The following is a 15,147-nucleotide window of genomic DNA, read 5'->3' on the forward strand; positions in this document are numbered from 1 at the left end:
GAGTCTCCCTCTGTTGCCCATGCTGGTTTGAAACACCTGGGCTCAAGTGATCCTCCTGCCTTGGCCTCCCTAATTGCTGGGATTATAGGCATGAGCCACTGCTCTGGGCTGGTTTTATTTTTTTTTGAGACAGGGTCTTGCTCTGTGGCCCAGGCTGGAGGGAAGTGCCATGATCATGGCTCACTATGGCCTCAATCTCCCAGGCTCAAGTGACCCTCCCACCTTAGCCTCCCAAGTAGCTGATACCACATGTGTGCCCAGCTAAATTTTTTTTTTTTTTTTGGTAGAGATGGAGTCTTCCTACGTTACCCAGGCTGGTCTAAAATTCCTACTCACAAGTGATCCTCCTGCCTCGGTTTTATATTTAGAGAGCTACTTTTTTCTTGTTCAAATACATATACAAAATTTTCTAGCATTTAACAAGTACAAGATTAGATATGAATGTATTCTTTTAAATGATTTATTATTTGTGTACTTTTTCTATACATGGGCATTGATAGTATGCTATTTGTAGACCTCTTGGTAGTTTGCAAAATGCTTTTATTTTTGCATTATGTTATTTAATCATTACCCTATGGAGGAGGCATTATCATATTTTATAGATGAGTAAACTGAATCTCAGAGAGATTATGTGATTTATCCAGGTCACAGTCCTCTAGAGACAGGCCTGGATGCAGGTTCCTCACCTTGGTGGCTCCTCACCTTGGTGTCAAGTGCTGTCATTCCTCCTCACACTATTCACTGAGTAATAGAATAAATTCTAACATAATTCTGCTCCTTTAGAATGGCTTTGTATTAGTCCATTCACGCTGCTGATAAAGACATACCCAAGACTGGGCAATTTACAAAAGATGAGGTTTAATTGGACTTACAGTTTCACATGGCTGGGGAAGTCTCACAATCATGGCAGAAGGCAAGGAGGAGCAAGTCACCTCCTACATGAATGGCAGCAAGGCAAAGAGAGAGCTTGTGCAGGGAGACTCCTGTTTTTCCAAACCATCAGATCTTACGAGACTTATTCACTGTCATGAGAACAGCAGGGGAAAGACCTGCCTCTCTGATTCAGTTACCTCCCACCTGGTCCGTCCCACACCACGTGGGAATTCAAAATGAGATTTGGGTGGGGAAACAGCCAAACCATATCAGGCCTTCACTCATTTGCTTTCTTTTCATTTCTACAACCTGTTTAGGTTACACTTGGCTCAGTTTGAAAAAAAATGATCAACTCTCCTCTTTTCTTCAAATTACCACACTTGAGCTAAAATAGGACAAAGTAGATGAAATATTATTATTAAAATATTTGACATTTCAATTAAGATACTTGAGGTGATAATCTTTAGTTATATGTGCTATTGTTTTCAGTTTACTGTGAATTATAATGCTGCTGGAACAGTTCAAACAGACTAGCTGTTTAAATTTATTTTTTAATATTTTATTTTTTATAGAGATAGGGTCTTTCTATGTTGCCCAGACTGGTCTTGAACTCCTGGGCTGAAGTGATCCTAAGAGTCCCTAAGTGCTGGGATTACAGCCATTAGTCATCCACTTGGCCCAGCTAGGAATTAAAATTAGAGAAATGATAGTGAAATCTCCAGAAGCTGGAATGTTAAGAGATGTGTGGTAATCTGGTTAAGAAAGGTTTAAAAATTATCTATTGATAAAACACATTTCTGCTTTAATTTTAGTCGTTTATATTGAAAGTCTTTCTAAAATACATTAGCCTACTTTCTTTTTTCTTTTTTTTTTTGAGATGGAGTTTTGTTCTTGTTGCCCAGGCTGGAGTGAAATGGCGTGATCTCGGCTCACTGCAACCTCCACCTCCTGGGTTCAAATGATTCTCCTGCCTCAGCCTCCTGAGTAGCTGGGATTACAGGCGCCCACCACCACGTCCAGCTAATTGTTGTATTTTTAGTAGAGATGGGGTTTCATCATGTTGGCCAGGCTGGTCTCAAACTCCTGACCTCAAGTGATCCGCCCACCTTGGCCTCCCAAAGTGCTGGGATTGCAGGCATGAGCCACCACGCCCGGCCAGCCTACTTTCTTTTTAGAGTAAATTCAGGACAATAAACATTATTCAGTCTTTTTAAAGAAATGATTTATGGGACAGGCACAGTGGCTCATGCCAGTAATCCCAGCGCTTTGGGAGGCCGAGGTGGGTGGATCACTTGAGGCCAGGAGTTCGAGACCAGCGTGGGCAACATGGTAAGACCCCATCTCTACTAAAAAATACAAAAATTAGCCAGGCGTGATGGCATGTACCTGTAATCCCAGCTACTCGGGAGCCTGAGGTGGAATAGCTTGAACCCGGGAGTTAGAGGTTACAGTGAGCTGAGATTGCACCACTGCACTCCAGCTTGGGTGACAGAGCGAGACTCTATCTCAAAAAAAAAAAAAAAAGAAAAGATTTGCTGGGCTTGGTGGCTCACGCCTGTAATCCCAGCACTTTGGGAGGCTGAGGCGGGTGGATCACAAGGTCAGGAGATTGAGACCATCCTGGCTAATACAGTGAAACCCCGTCTCTATTAAAAATACAAAAAATTAGCCAGGTGTGGTGGCGGGCACCTGTGGTCTCAGCTACTCGGGAGGCTGAGGCAGGAGAATGGTGGGAACCCAGAGGCCGAGCTTGCAGTGAGCCAAGATTGTGCCACTGCACTCCAGACTGGGCAACAGAGTGAGACTCCATCTCAAAAAAAAAAAAAGATTTATGATTTTCACAATTACTACACTAAACATTAGGGTTTTTTTCATGATAATGTACGGTAGATGCAGATGTTGATGGTGTGTGGGTATGAGTTAAGATATAGTGTAGGGAACCTGCTTAATTCCCTATACATTCCAGATGATAAACATTAGCGCAGATTTGTTAATAACTGAGAAAAACAAAACTGTTAAAAGCTGCTGAATTGTAGATATCTCGCTTACTTATTTATTAAATAAACACTTAAGCACCTACTCATTCCTTTTACGTAAAATGGGAATAATAATATAACTTCTCCAAATCTACTGGGGTTGTTGGTTGAAGGCAACAGAAATGAACTCTGATTAACTTATCCAGAAAGAGAATGTATTGAAAGAATATGATGTAGCTCACAGAATCACTGGGAACAGTGAAGAACCAGGTTTGTAAAAGGTATAGGGCCATCCTTTAGGATGTCACTGTTGGCACTGCTGCAGACCCTGGCTGCTACAACCACGTGCACCATTGTGAATCACCACTCTCTATCACGTCATCTTTGCATCTCTGTCCAAACTGCAGATTTCAGGTGAGAGCATCTAGTTGGCTTAGCCTATGTTTCATGTCATGCCTATACCCTAGCTGCCAGGTCATGAAGAGAAGGACTTTGGCCTGCACCAGTTTCCAAAGTGTGAGGTGGGCTTTGCCTCCACTAAGACTCAGAATGAAGGATTCTCCAACTAATCCAACTAATGTGCTAAGAAAATAATAGGAAAGGCTGAGCACTGTGGCTCACACCTATAGTCCCAACACATTGGGAGGCCAAGGCAGGAAGATCGCTTAAGCCCAAGAGTTTGAGACCAGCCTGCGCAACATGGCGAAACTCTGGTCTCTACAAAAGACACATAAATTAGCCAGGCATGGTAGTACAAGTCCATAGTCCCAGCTACTCAGGAGGCTGAGGTAGGGATATCACCTGAGCCCAGAAGTTGAAGCTGCAGTGAGTTGAGACGGTGCCACTGCACTACAGCCTGTGTGACACAGTGAGATCATGTCTCAAAAAAAAAAAAAAAAAAAAAAAAGAAAAGAAAGAAAAGAAAAGAAAGAAAAAGAAAATAATAGACCATTTAAAAAATTATTGTTTGTTTTTTTTTTGAGATGGATTTCCCTCTTTTGTCTCCCAGGCTGGAGTGCAGTAGTGCTATCTTGGCTCACTGCAACCTCCTCCTCCCGGGTTCAAGCGATTCTCCTGCCTCAGCCTCCCAAGTAGCTGAGATTACAGGCACCTGCCACCAGGCCTGGCTAATTTTTTGTATTTTTAGTAGAGATGGGGTTTCGCCATGTTGGGCAGGCTGGTCTTGAACTCCTAACCTCAGGTGATCCATCTGCTTCAGCCTCCCAAAGTGCTGGGATTACAGGTGTGAGCCACTGCGCCCAGCCTCTTTTAAATTTAAAAGCTCAGTATTTTGGAGAGTTATTGAAGAGAAAAACAGATATAAAAATGTAATTATAAAACTACATGGCTGGGCACAGTGGCTGACGCCTGTAATCCCAGCACTTTGGGAGGCTGATGTAGGAGTATCACTTGAGCCCAGGAGTTCAAGACCAGCCAGGGCAACATAGTGAGACCTCATGTCTACAAATAATAAAATTAGCCAGGTGTGGTGGCGTGCACCTGTAGTCCCAGTGACTGGGGAAGGTGAGGTGACACAGGAGGGTCACTTAAGCCCAGAAGGTTAAGGCGGCACTGAGGCATGACGGCACCACTGCACTCCAGCCAGAGTAACAGAGCAAGACCCTGTTTCTTTCTTTTTCTTTTATTATTTTTTTTTAAGGGAAGGGATCAGATATTGAGGATGGGGGGTTCTTGCTAAACTGACTTGGCAAAGTTCTTGATAAAACTGGATTTCATAAGGAAGGACACAGATGGACCTAGGAGAAGGTTCACAAGCCTAACTAAAGTTTGGTCAAGCAAATACTCTTGGCCAAAGAAATCAAAACTTGGTAAAGGGGGTGACATAATCAGATTTGGGGGAGAGGGGTAACTCTCTAGGAGTGGTAGAGAGACTGAACTAGAAGGAGCAGAGGCGATGTCAAGAGTTTGGATAAAATAAGATGATGGTCTGTACTAAGGGATAACAAGAGTTAAGGCATCAACTTGGAAATGCCTTATGATATAGAATGAACTGGATTTGGTGACTCCAAAACTAGAGTCGAGGAAGGGAAGGAGTCCTCGGTGACTTAAAACCCAGAAACCAGTGTCTGGTAATACTATACATAGTCATAATAGGTCTGTGGCAAGGGGATTATCTGAGGCAGTGAGGAAGAAAAATATAATGAGTTTCTGTGATAGACCTGTGGGTGTTTAGCCTGCCTCACTTAAAAGTTGGTGACATACAGCTATTTCCTGGTCCCTGTGTTGTGTCTTGGAGTCTGGAGCGATGAAGACCTCTGTGCTCTTAGGCAAGTCCTTCCTCTTTTCTTTATTGTTTTGGAATTCTTCTGGACTCGATCCAGCAATAATTTCAACAGTTGGTTTGACTATTGAATAGTTTCAATAGTTTCTGATGATTGGTTGTTAGAATGAAAATAAGGCCCTTTGATAACACAGAAATTAGAATTGGGGACATGCGCCTGGGAGATAACTGTCCTGTCATTTAACTCACTGTTGTCATTTAACTTTGAGTTTTCTTATACTGTCACTTCTTGTGGGATCAAGAAAATTATGTTCCAAAGAAACGATGCTGCCATGTTCTTGGAGATCACTTATACACCAAAGTTGGATACTACCTATCCAAACCTTAACAGTGGTTTGCTTTGTGAAGAGGCTTAAATTTCCATCTGTGATGCATTTTGAAATGAGTGGGTTTGATGTCAACCCACTGAAAGATATCCCTCAAAAAACAAAAGGACAAGAGTCATCAGCTCCCACACAAAGTAAAAAATGTGAACCTAATTTTAGCAGTGTTAATAAGGAGCAATTATCCATGAATCGCTGCATCAATAATGCCTGTGTTATAACATCCTCTCCTCCTTAAGGTACAGGAACAAGTGGTACATACTTGTCCGGGAACCAGTTTCATTAATACTGTTGTATCTGCCCAAAAATGAGTAGCAATATCTGTTACCAGTTTCACTACCTTTTGGAGTTTTGGATAACCTTTCTATACTGTGATGTTTATATATTTTAATGAGTTAATTTTAGGTGAAATTGTAATTCTAACTTTGCATGTGAAATCAAGTTCATATACAATAAAGCTTGCCTATATAAAAAAAAGGAGTTGGTGACATAGATGCAGTTGAAGCTGTCAAAGCGGATGTCAGCCAGGGAAGGTGTAGAGACCCTCACACGCCTGTGTTATCTATTCCCACAAAAAAGGAGAAATGAAACCACAAAATTTTGCATATGATTTCAGGGGGATTTGTGGAGTTCCTATCTATGATAAAGGATCCGTGGATCTCAGTTAGAAATTTCTGGGATGGCACAAGAAGATCCAGGGAAGGGTCTTACAAATATTCAATGAGTGACAGCAAAGCTGAAAAACTTAGTCATGTGCCAAATAGTGACACTTGATCAATAACATGGCATATACAGTGGTCCCATAGATTACAATACCATATTTTTACTGTATTTTTTCTGTTTAGATACACAAATACTTCCCATTGTTACAGTTTTCTACAGTATTCACTACAGTAATAAGCTGTACATGTTTGTAGTCCAGGAGCAACAGGCTATACCATATAGCCCAGAGAGTAAGTTATACTATCTAGGTTTGTGTAAGTACATTCTACGATGTTCACACAAAGACAAACTCATCCAATGATGAATTTCTCGGAATGTATCCCTATGGTTATGTGATGCATGACTGTAGAGATACGGAATAACTTGTTGAGTTTTTGCAACAAATAAGATGAGTTGTATCCACCATGCTTAACTACAGCACAAGCAATTTTTCTTTTTTGAGACAGGGTCTCTCTCTGTCACCCAGGCTGGAGTGCAGTGGTGCGATCATGGTTCCCTGCAGCCTCAACCCCCCAACCCAGGCTCAAAGAATCCTCCCACCTCAGCCTCCTGAGTAGCTAGGAATACAAGCCCAGCCAATTTTCTGTATTTTTTGTAGCGATGGGGTTTCACCATGCTCAAACTCTGGACTCAAGCGATCAGCCCACCTTGGCATCCCAAAGTGCTGGGATTACAGGCATAAGCCACTGTGCCCTGCCAGTGCATGCAGTTTCTTACAAGTGTCAACTCTCTTGCCAGTTGTTCATCCATCTGTCCCATTTATTCAATAGTAATACTAATGGTAGGCACTGCTTAATGAATGACTACCATGTGAAAGCCACTCTGCCTGGCATTAGGGACACAAAGATTAAGTCCCTCACTATGACCTCAAGGAGTTTTACAGTCCAGTTGGAGGATACTTATAAGTAAACTTAAGTAGCAATAGTGAAATGTGTGTTTGAAGAGATATCTGCAATGGGTGTTAAGTGAGAAATGGGAAAGAGCACCAAAAAGCACCTAGGATTTGCATCAAGGGGGTTTAGGGAAAACGTCTTGGAGGGAACAAATAGGCTTTGTTCTGAAGGATTAATTGGATTTAGCTTGGCAATGTTCCAATGTAATAAATAGCATAGCCGTCTGTTCTGGGACACAAAAGTACTGCAGAATGACCTGAATATAAAGGACAAGAAATAGAGAAAGGCAGTGGGTAGAAATGAGATTGGAGAGGTAAGCAGGGCTAGGACACTGGATGCAAGTCATTCCAAAGACAGGCAGGTAACATTGTGCGAGGAAGTCTGGTTTAAAACAGACAGCTTTGTGAGTTTTGGACCGCAATGAATTGGGGACCTCATAACCAATGAAAACAAATTCAAATTTAATTAGAAGAAAAAAACATGGTCAGGCACAGTGGCTCACACCTGTAATCCCAGTGCTTTGGGAGGCCAAGGCAGGAGGATCGCTTGGGTCCAGGAGTTCATAATCAGCCTGGGCAATATAGAAGACCCCTGTCTCTATAAAAAAAAAAAAAAAAAAAACTGCCTGGCATGGTGGCATGTGCCTACAGTCCTAGCTACTCAGGAGGCTGAGGTGGGAATATTCATTGAGCCTAGGAGGTTGAGGTTATAGTGAACTATGATTGCACCACTGCACCCCAGCCTGGGCAATAGAGCAAGACTCTGTCTCAAAAAGAAAAGGGCTGGGCGTGGTGGCTCACGTCTGTAATCCCAGCACTTTGGGAGGCCGAGGCAGGCAGATCACTTTAGGTCAGGAGTTCGAGACCAGCCGGGCCAACATGGCAAAAACTAATCTCTACTAAAAATATAAAAATCAGCCAGGCGTGGTAGTGCACACCTATAGTCCCAGTTACTTGGGACGCTGAGGCAGGAGAATCGCTTGAACCCAGGAAGCAGAGGTTGCAGCGAGCCGAGATCACACCAGTGCACTCCACCCTGGGAGACAGAGGGAGACTCTTTCTCAAAAAAAAAAAAAAAAAAAAAAAAGAGGAAAAAAGGAAATCCCCATTATGTTAGGCAAACAAAAACAGCCAGTTTGTGACTGGTGGCTAAATCAAGAAGGATCTTACAAGACATTTTAAGTGGTTTGGACTTTATATCAAGAGTCAGAGAGTGCCATTACAGAAATTTAAATAGTGGAGTACATAAAAGACAAACTGATGACGTTGTAAAGACTGGATTAGAAGGGGATAAAACTGCGGCCTGGGAAACTGGTTAGGTGACTTAGGCAGTATGCAAGATTTGAAATGATAGTGGCCTGAAACAAGATAGTGGTAGTGGGTATAAAGAGGAATTTGATACATTAGAGAGATATTATAGAGCCAGAAGCAAAAGCACTCAGTAATGGATTGGAAGTGTGGGGCAAAGGAGAGAAAACAATCACGAAAGTCATTAGCTACAAAAAAATCTTTAAAATGTATTGATTTATCTAGGTGTGGTGACTCACACTTGTAATCCCAGCACTTTGGGAGGCCAAGGGAGGGGGGCGGGCAGGGATTGCTTGAGGCCAAGAGTTCAAGACCAGCCTGGGCAACATAGCAAGCCCCTGTGTTTACCAACAACAAAAAAATTAAGAAAATTAAAAAAATGTATTGACTTCTATTGGTTTGCCAAATGAAGTTTAGTATTAAATCCAAAATTGAGTCAGAGCAGTGTGAACTGAGACAGCCATCTTCATCTTCTCCCTCTTTTTTTCAGTTTGTTTTGAAATTTAGTTTTATATACTTAAGACTTACCTTCTGGCAATTTGGAATTAAATTTCTGAGATTGCTGTAAATTATTTCCTTTCTTTGTTTCTCTTCCTCTTTCTTACTTCCCTATTTTACTCTTAATATTTTATTGTTTTAGTTGAATTCTAAAACATCTTATCAGAACTTAGAGTTTTTATTTCTCCACCCACAGAACCATGGAGTCTTTAAGTATCAGAAATTTGTCTCCTCGTCAGAATCTTCTAGATTTCCAGAAGTTTCCAAGTCGCTACATATAAATGTTGCAGAAAAACGTGTAATTCTCATGTGCAAGTAGGCTTTTTTCAGCGGATACATTTAGCATTATAGTCAATTGTTATTTCGTTGCCTTAAAAGAAGCTGTTTTCATTGTAAAGGTGATGTGTTTTTACCATATAATTCAAATTTGCATAGGTACTTCATATTTTAAAAGGTGACTCACAGGTATGTCACTAATAAAAACAGTAACATTTAAACGACTGAGAAGGTAGGGGCTCTAAATAAAGTAAATGCGTCGGCGAGGGTAGGAGCGGGAAGAGGCAAAGGGGTGCGAAATTCCCATCCCAAGCCCCCTCCTCCAAAGACCGAATGGCAACTTAGTTGTGCGGGAAGGTTCCCCCCTATGCAGGGCAGCCCAGTCCAAGCCGGCCCGATCCGGGGCCGAGTGAGCAGTGGTTCTTGCCGCAACCGCCACGCAGCCTCGCTGCCGCCCAAGCGCGGACACCTGGTTCCTGGGTCCCCCGCGCGGAGCCCCGGACTCCTCGCCCCTTCTCCGAACAACTTTCTCCCTGCTTGAACTGATTCTCGCTGTTGGTAGACTGCACAGTCACAGTATCCAGCCGGACAGGACCTGCTTTGCCGGGACTGGAAACAACTACCGCGGCAAAAGAGGCCGTTTCGCCATGGGAAGAACAAGAACTCCCGGCTTGTCCAGGGGCAGCCCCTCTCTGCGCTGCAGGGCGCCTACCCTCGCCCCAGAGGCTCTGCGCCGCGGGCGGGGCGACCCCGGGGGTCGCGCGCCCTCTCCCGGAGCGCGCCCTCCCTCCCGGAGCGCGCGCCCGACGGCCTGCCGCGGCCCCGGCGCCCCCGCCCCTTCGGGCGCTCCGTAGCCGTGACGTGCACGCCGCAGTGCCGGGGACTCGGCGGGGCGCCGGCCGGCGGGCGGAGACCGACTCGGGATCTGTCCGAGCAGGAAGCCAGCCTCAGCCCGGCCGCTGTCGCCGCCCTGTCCTGGTGCCCGTCCGCGTCGTCGCCCTCTTCACTGGCCCTCATCACTTCTCACCGCGCCCTCCAGCTTCACCCGTACAGGTAGCCCCGCCGCCGCGCACCTGCCTTCGCTCCCGCACCGGTGAGTGTCCCAGAGACCCACTGCGGGGCGTCGGCGCCGGGGTCTCGCGTTCCCTGGCCCGGCCTTGCTCCCGGGCCTCCTCGAGCAGCTCCGGGGCCGACGCTTCTGTTCACTGCCCGAGGACGCGGGTGGGAGAAGCAGGTGATGGATGGGTGGGCCCTGGGCAGCAGTGGGGCCGGCGGTGGTTCTCGTTTCCACCGAAAGACAATCAGTCTCCTTTCATGGGTTCTCATCACCAAGGTCCCTTTGTGTTTCTTCCCTGGCTCCCAGGTAGAAGCAGAGCACTCAGGTGCCTAACTCGGACTTGGACACTCCGTGATAGTTTTATTTTCTCTTTTGTAAACACGCTTAAAATTCAGTGCAGGGGGAGCGCAGTTTGCTCTGAGATGTGAAGATCAAATGATACCATTAATAGTCTAATCATGTAGGAGACCAGATCGAGACTTTCTAAAGCCTTATTCTTAGTCTCCAGGTGGTCCAGTACCTTGAGTATGTTAATTTACGGATATGCTACTGAACAAGAACTTTTTTTGTTAATTTCCAAAAACTCCCTAAAACGATTAAAATGCTTAAACTCTGGGATTTTAATTTTAAGTAGGACACAATTTGATGGGGTTATTGCTAGAACATCCGTGTTTAAAAGTATTTCCATACAGTTTAAAAAATTCATTACCTTTTTTTTTTTTTTTTGAGACGGAGCCTTGGTCTGTCGCCCAGGCTGGAGTGCGGTGGTGCGATTTCCTCTCACTGCACCCTCCCCCTCGCGGGTTCAAGCAATTCTCTGCCACAGCCTCCCGAGTAGCTGGGATTACAAGCGCCCACCACCACGCCTGGCTAATTTTTTTGTATTTTTAGTAGAGACGGGGTTTCACCATCTTGGCCAGGCAGGTCTTGAAATCCTGACCTCTTGATCCATCCGCCTCGGTCTCCCAAAGTGCTGGGATTACAGGCGTGAGCCACTGCGCCTGGCCAAATATTCTTTACATCTTACCTGGCATAAAGTGATGTGGTGGAGGGATGCTTAAATCCTGATTTACAAGTATTAGTGAGAAATGAGGAGCACTGCCCTAACTTAATAGACTTAACTGTACGGGCTAAATAAGCCTCATTTTTTTTTTTTTTTTAATGCTCTGGTGGTATAGATGCAGTCTATCTAAATAAAGTCAGAACTTGAGAGTTTTAAAAATTAACTTTTTTTTTTTTGAGACAGAGCCTCGCTCTGTCAGCTCACTGCAACCTCCACCTCCCAGGTTCGAACGATTGACCTCCCTCAGCCGCCCGAGTGGCTGGGACTACAGTAAGGGCGCGCCACTGCCCAGCTAATTTTTGTATTTTTAGCAGAGACGGGGATTCGCCATGTTGGCCAGGCTGGTCTCGAACTCCTGACCTCAGGTGATCCACTCGCCTCGGCCTCCCAAAGTGCTAGGATTACAGGCTTGAGCCCCCGCGCCTGGCCTGAAAATTAACATTCTTAAGATTTAGCTGAAACTTATCTTCACACCATAAAACGTGAATCTTGAACTTGGACTGGTAGTGGTCATGGTACAAAGGTTGGCGGCAAAACAGCATTTCTGTACAAATTAACTGAACTTCCTAGATGTCTTGGGTTGTGGTTTTCAAACTGGAGAATGTTTAGTGAAAAAATTACCTTTGTGCCTTTTTTCCTTAATTGTAGAAACCGCCACAAATGTTACAAAGTGGGCTATAGCCAGAGCTTGAAACCATGCTGCCGTTCAAAATAGCTCACAGACTTTTATATATACAGCTCATTTTGAGTATTTTACGTTACGCAGGAATTGCATCCACTTTGGTAAACAGAAGTCATTTTAGTCTTATGTACATTTGCCCATTATTTTTGTATTTTTTGTGTGACATGCTGTTTATCATTCTCTCATCTTTGTAAGTTACATTTTTGTTTTCAGAAACCATTGTAAATGTAACAGAAGTATGAATGACATTTAAGGAAAGATCATGATTAAAAACTGTATAATATATAAAACTATATATGATATACATATATATTCTTGGTTAGTGCCTAGAAACATGAGCAAGAAAAATGTTATGAACAATTACAATATTTAATGTAAATTAATGCAATTAAATATTGCATTAAAAACAAAAGATCGTAAATCATAACCAGTAGGGATTATCTGAAATGGATTTTTCCCTGTTTATGTTTACGTGGTCAAGTTTTAAAATAACAGTGGCCAGGAAATCTGAGAGAGGCTGAAGGCTCTGTTCTCATCCTGTTGTGACTTTGCCTGGAGTCTGTGGTGTATCATGTAGCCCATTGTTTAGACAACTGGGCTGTATCTGGGTTCCAAAATGTAGCTTTCTTTAGAAAGTTTTAAAGACTTTGACCATGTGAGGCTTGAACAAATGCAAACATCCAAACATTGAAAAAAACCCATTTTAACTTTCTGTTGATAGTTGAGACTCCATTTTTGACATGTAAAATACCAGTTTTAAGAAGAGTTTACTAACCTCTGTGTAGTTTCATTTTTATATATTAAAATATCTAAAAATATTGGGAAGTGTTATAACTTAAATAAATCTCAGAGTTTATTTATTCTTTTTTTTTTTTTTCTCTGAGATGGAGTCTTGCCCTGTCATCCAGGCTGTGCAGTGGCACGATCTTGGGTCACTGCAACCTCCGTCTCCTGGGTTCAAGTGATTCTCCTGCCTCAGCCTCCTGAGTAGCTGAGATTACAGGTGCCCGCCACCACACCTGGCCAATTTTTTATTATTATTAGAGATGGGGTTTCACCATGTTGGCCAGGCTGGTCTCAAACTCCTGAGCTCAAGTGATTTGCCTGCCTTGGCCTCCCAAAGTGCTGGGATTGCAGTTTCATAGAGTTTAATTATGATACCCATAATGAGATATTTCATAATAATTTGTGAACTGGCCCTTTACTAGTATAAGATTGTTGCACATTTATTAGGCATCTTCCATAATTGGACAGATCACAGATTGAGGGGCTTGATCTACAAAATAATTTTCTAGGCTAATGGTCTTGTCCTTTTACAGATGAGGGAGTCTAGTCTCAAAGAATTAAATGCTTGCTCCAGAAGGGCAAAGTCTGGATTCACACCTGAGTCATTTGACCACGAAGCCCCTGTTTTTTCCACCAGAACAGTTTGCCTTGGTTTCAGTTCACTTGGTGGACTGTTTAAACCGGCAAAACTGGTATTATGTCAAAGAATGTAATTCAAGGTTTGACAAAAGCATCCAGGAGTAGATATGATAGGCCGTGAATGTAGTTCTGGAACAAATTTAGAATCCTGTGTTTGTGTCTTCATTCTCAAGTTGACAGCCTTGAACACTGATGCTGCTGCTTTCTCATTTCTCGTATAGTTCTAGGACATTATATGTATTGTGCATGTATGTATGCTGTTAAACATATGTATGTGTTTAACTTTGATAGGTTTGTGAGAACTAGAATTAGATTGTAATGTTCCTGGTTGGGATAGAACTTTAAAATTTTCCTCTAATGAAAAAGATAATTATTTATGCAGTAGCTATCCTTTAAATATTACATAATTAATTCTCTAATCTTGAGAGGGGGGACTCGTTTTTAGATTATGATTAAATTGTCACTTAGAAACTATTAGTACAAATCTTTTCTATGGTCTGTGGAATATCCCTTGAGCCGCAATAGACATAAATGACAACAGTGAGCAAATAAGCCCATTTTTTCTGGTAACAAACTAGGAATCATGCATTTCAGCAGTAGGATGTAGTTGGGTAAATGAGCAGAAGCAAGGTAGGAAGGCTGAGTTGGGTGGCTACCATTACGGATTTTTTTCATTATTTGCTTTGAACTATTAGGAATTGTGCATCTCAAGGATATTCATATTCAACTGTAAATACAAAACCACCACCTAATATAAATTAGTAATATTACTAATATAAATTGGTAATAGATCTGTGACACACACATCAAGAAGTAGAGTTAAATAAGCTTAAGTTCTCTTTTGGAGGCATTATATCTATATGCATGTATCTATGATCTATATATGTGTGTGTGTGTGTATATATATATATATATATATATATGTTTTTTGGAGACAGAGTCTCATTCATGCCACATGCAGTGGCATGATCTCGGCTTACTGCAACCTCCATCTCCCAGGCTCAAGTGACACTCCCACCTCAGTCTCCGGAGTAGCTGGGACCACAGGTGTATGTCACCATGCCTGGCTAACTTTTTTGTGTTTCTGGTGGAGAGGGGTTTTGCCATGTTGCCCAGGCTGGTCTTGAACTCCTGAGCTCAGATAGTGTGCTGCCTCGGGCTCCCAAAGTACTGGGATTACAGGCATGAGCTACCGTGCCTTGCCGGCATTATATAATGTTCAGAGGAACCAGGATCTTTTCATTTAAAATGGTTCTGATTTTATTTGACAAATTTGAGTGGACTAGAATCTTTAAATATTTTGCAACGTCTTTCTAGTTACTGTTTTCAAAAATTAGCTTATTTTTCTTATTGATTAGTGTAAGAATGACATAATGGTTTGAGAAATGACCATAAGTCCACCAAAAGTTTTCCCTGTGAGTACTGAAGCATAAAAAGTAAAACCTAAAGAAGAAATCTGGCATCTTTAGAAATCTTGCTGGTGCTAAAGAGAGAGGAAATAATTTTTTATACAGAAGGCATGTCTCAAGTGAAACCAAAACACCAAAGCACATTCCTTCAGTGTATATTCACATGGGGTAAATATGATGCTGAGTAATGTGCACAAAGGAAACTCTTGACAAAAACACAGTCATCTTTTGAGTATGTTAGGTCATTTGTTATTTCATTTGAAAATAACCTGGCTGGGGCGTGGTGGCTCACACCTGTAATCACAGCATTTTGGGAGGCCAAGGTGGGTGGATCACCTGA

The 15,147-nt window shown here is 42.8% G+C and overlaps 1 protein-coding gene and 1 pseudogene across 15 annotated transcripts in view, besides 3 other annotated features; both read left to right on the forward strand.

The window, feature by feature from the left end:
• Positions 1 to 2,752: 2,752 nt before the first annotated feature.
• On the forward strand, positions 2,753 to 5,712 carry LOC124901230 (oocyte-secreted protein 4B-like; annotated as a pseudogene).
• Positions 9,517 to 9,626: an enhancer, noted in NCBI's record as "active region_24760". NCBI's record gives its function as "activates an Ori minimal core promoter by ATAC-STARR-seq in GM12878 lymphoblastoid cells {active_cell/tissue: GM12878}" and the evidence as "EXISTENCE:reporter gene assay evidence [ECO:0000049][PMID:35858748]".
• Positions 9,647 to 9,736: an enhancer, noted in NCBI's record as "active region_24761". NCBI's record gives its function as "activates an Ori minimal core promoter by ATAC-STARR-seq in GM12878 lymphoblastoid cells {active_cell/tissue: GM12878}" and the evidence as "EXISTENCE:reporter gene assay evidence [ECO:0000049][PMID:35858748]".
• Positions 9,887 to 10,056: a silencer, noted in NCBI's record as "silent region_17342". NCBI's record gives its function as "represses an Ori minimal core promoter by ATAC-STARR-seq in GM12878 lymphoblastoid cells {active_cell/tissue: GM12878}" and the evidence as "EXISTENCE:reporter gene assay evidence [ECO:0000049][PMID:35858748]".
• The window catches only part of MYO6 (myosin VI), a 170,299-nt gene continuing 165,231 nt past the window's right edge, over positions 10,080 to 15,147 (forward strand). For all 15 annotated transcript variants that reach the window (NR_160538.1, NR_160539.1, NM_001368865.1 and 12 more), the window contains exon 1: positions 10,080 to 10,264. The gene's annotated coding sequence lies outside the window, so the exon portion shown is untranslated. The remainder of the gene's footprint in view (positions 10,265 to 15,147) is intronic.

Source organism: Homo sapiens, chromosome 6, assembly GCF_000001405.40.
Source record: "Homo sapiens chromosome 6, GRCh38.p14 Primary Assembly".
Taxonomy (NCBI): Eukaryota; Metazoa; Chordata; class Mammalia; order Primates; family Hominidae; genus Homo; species Homo sapiens.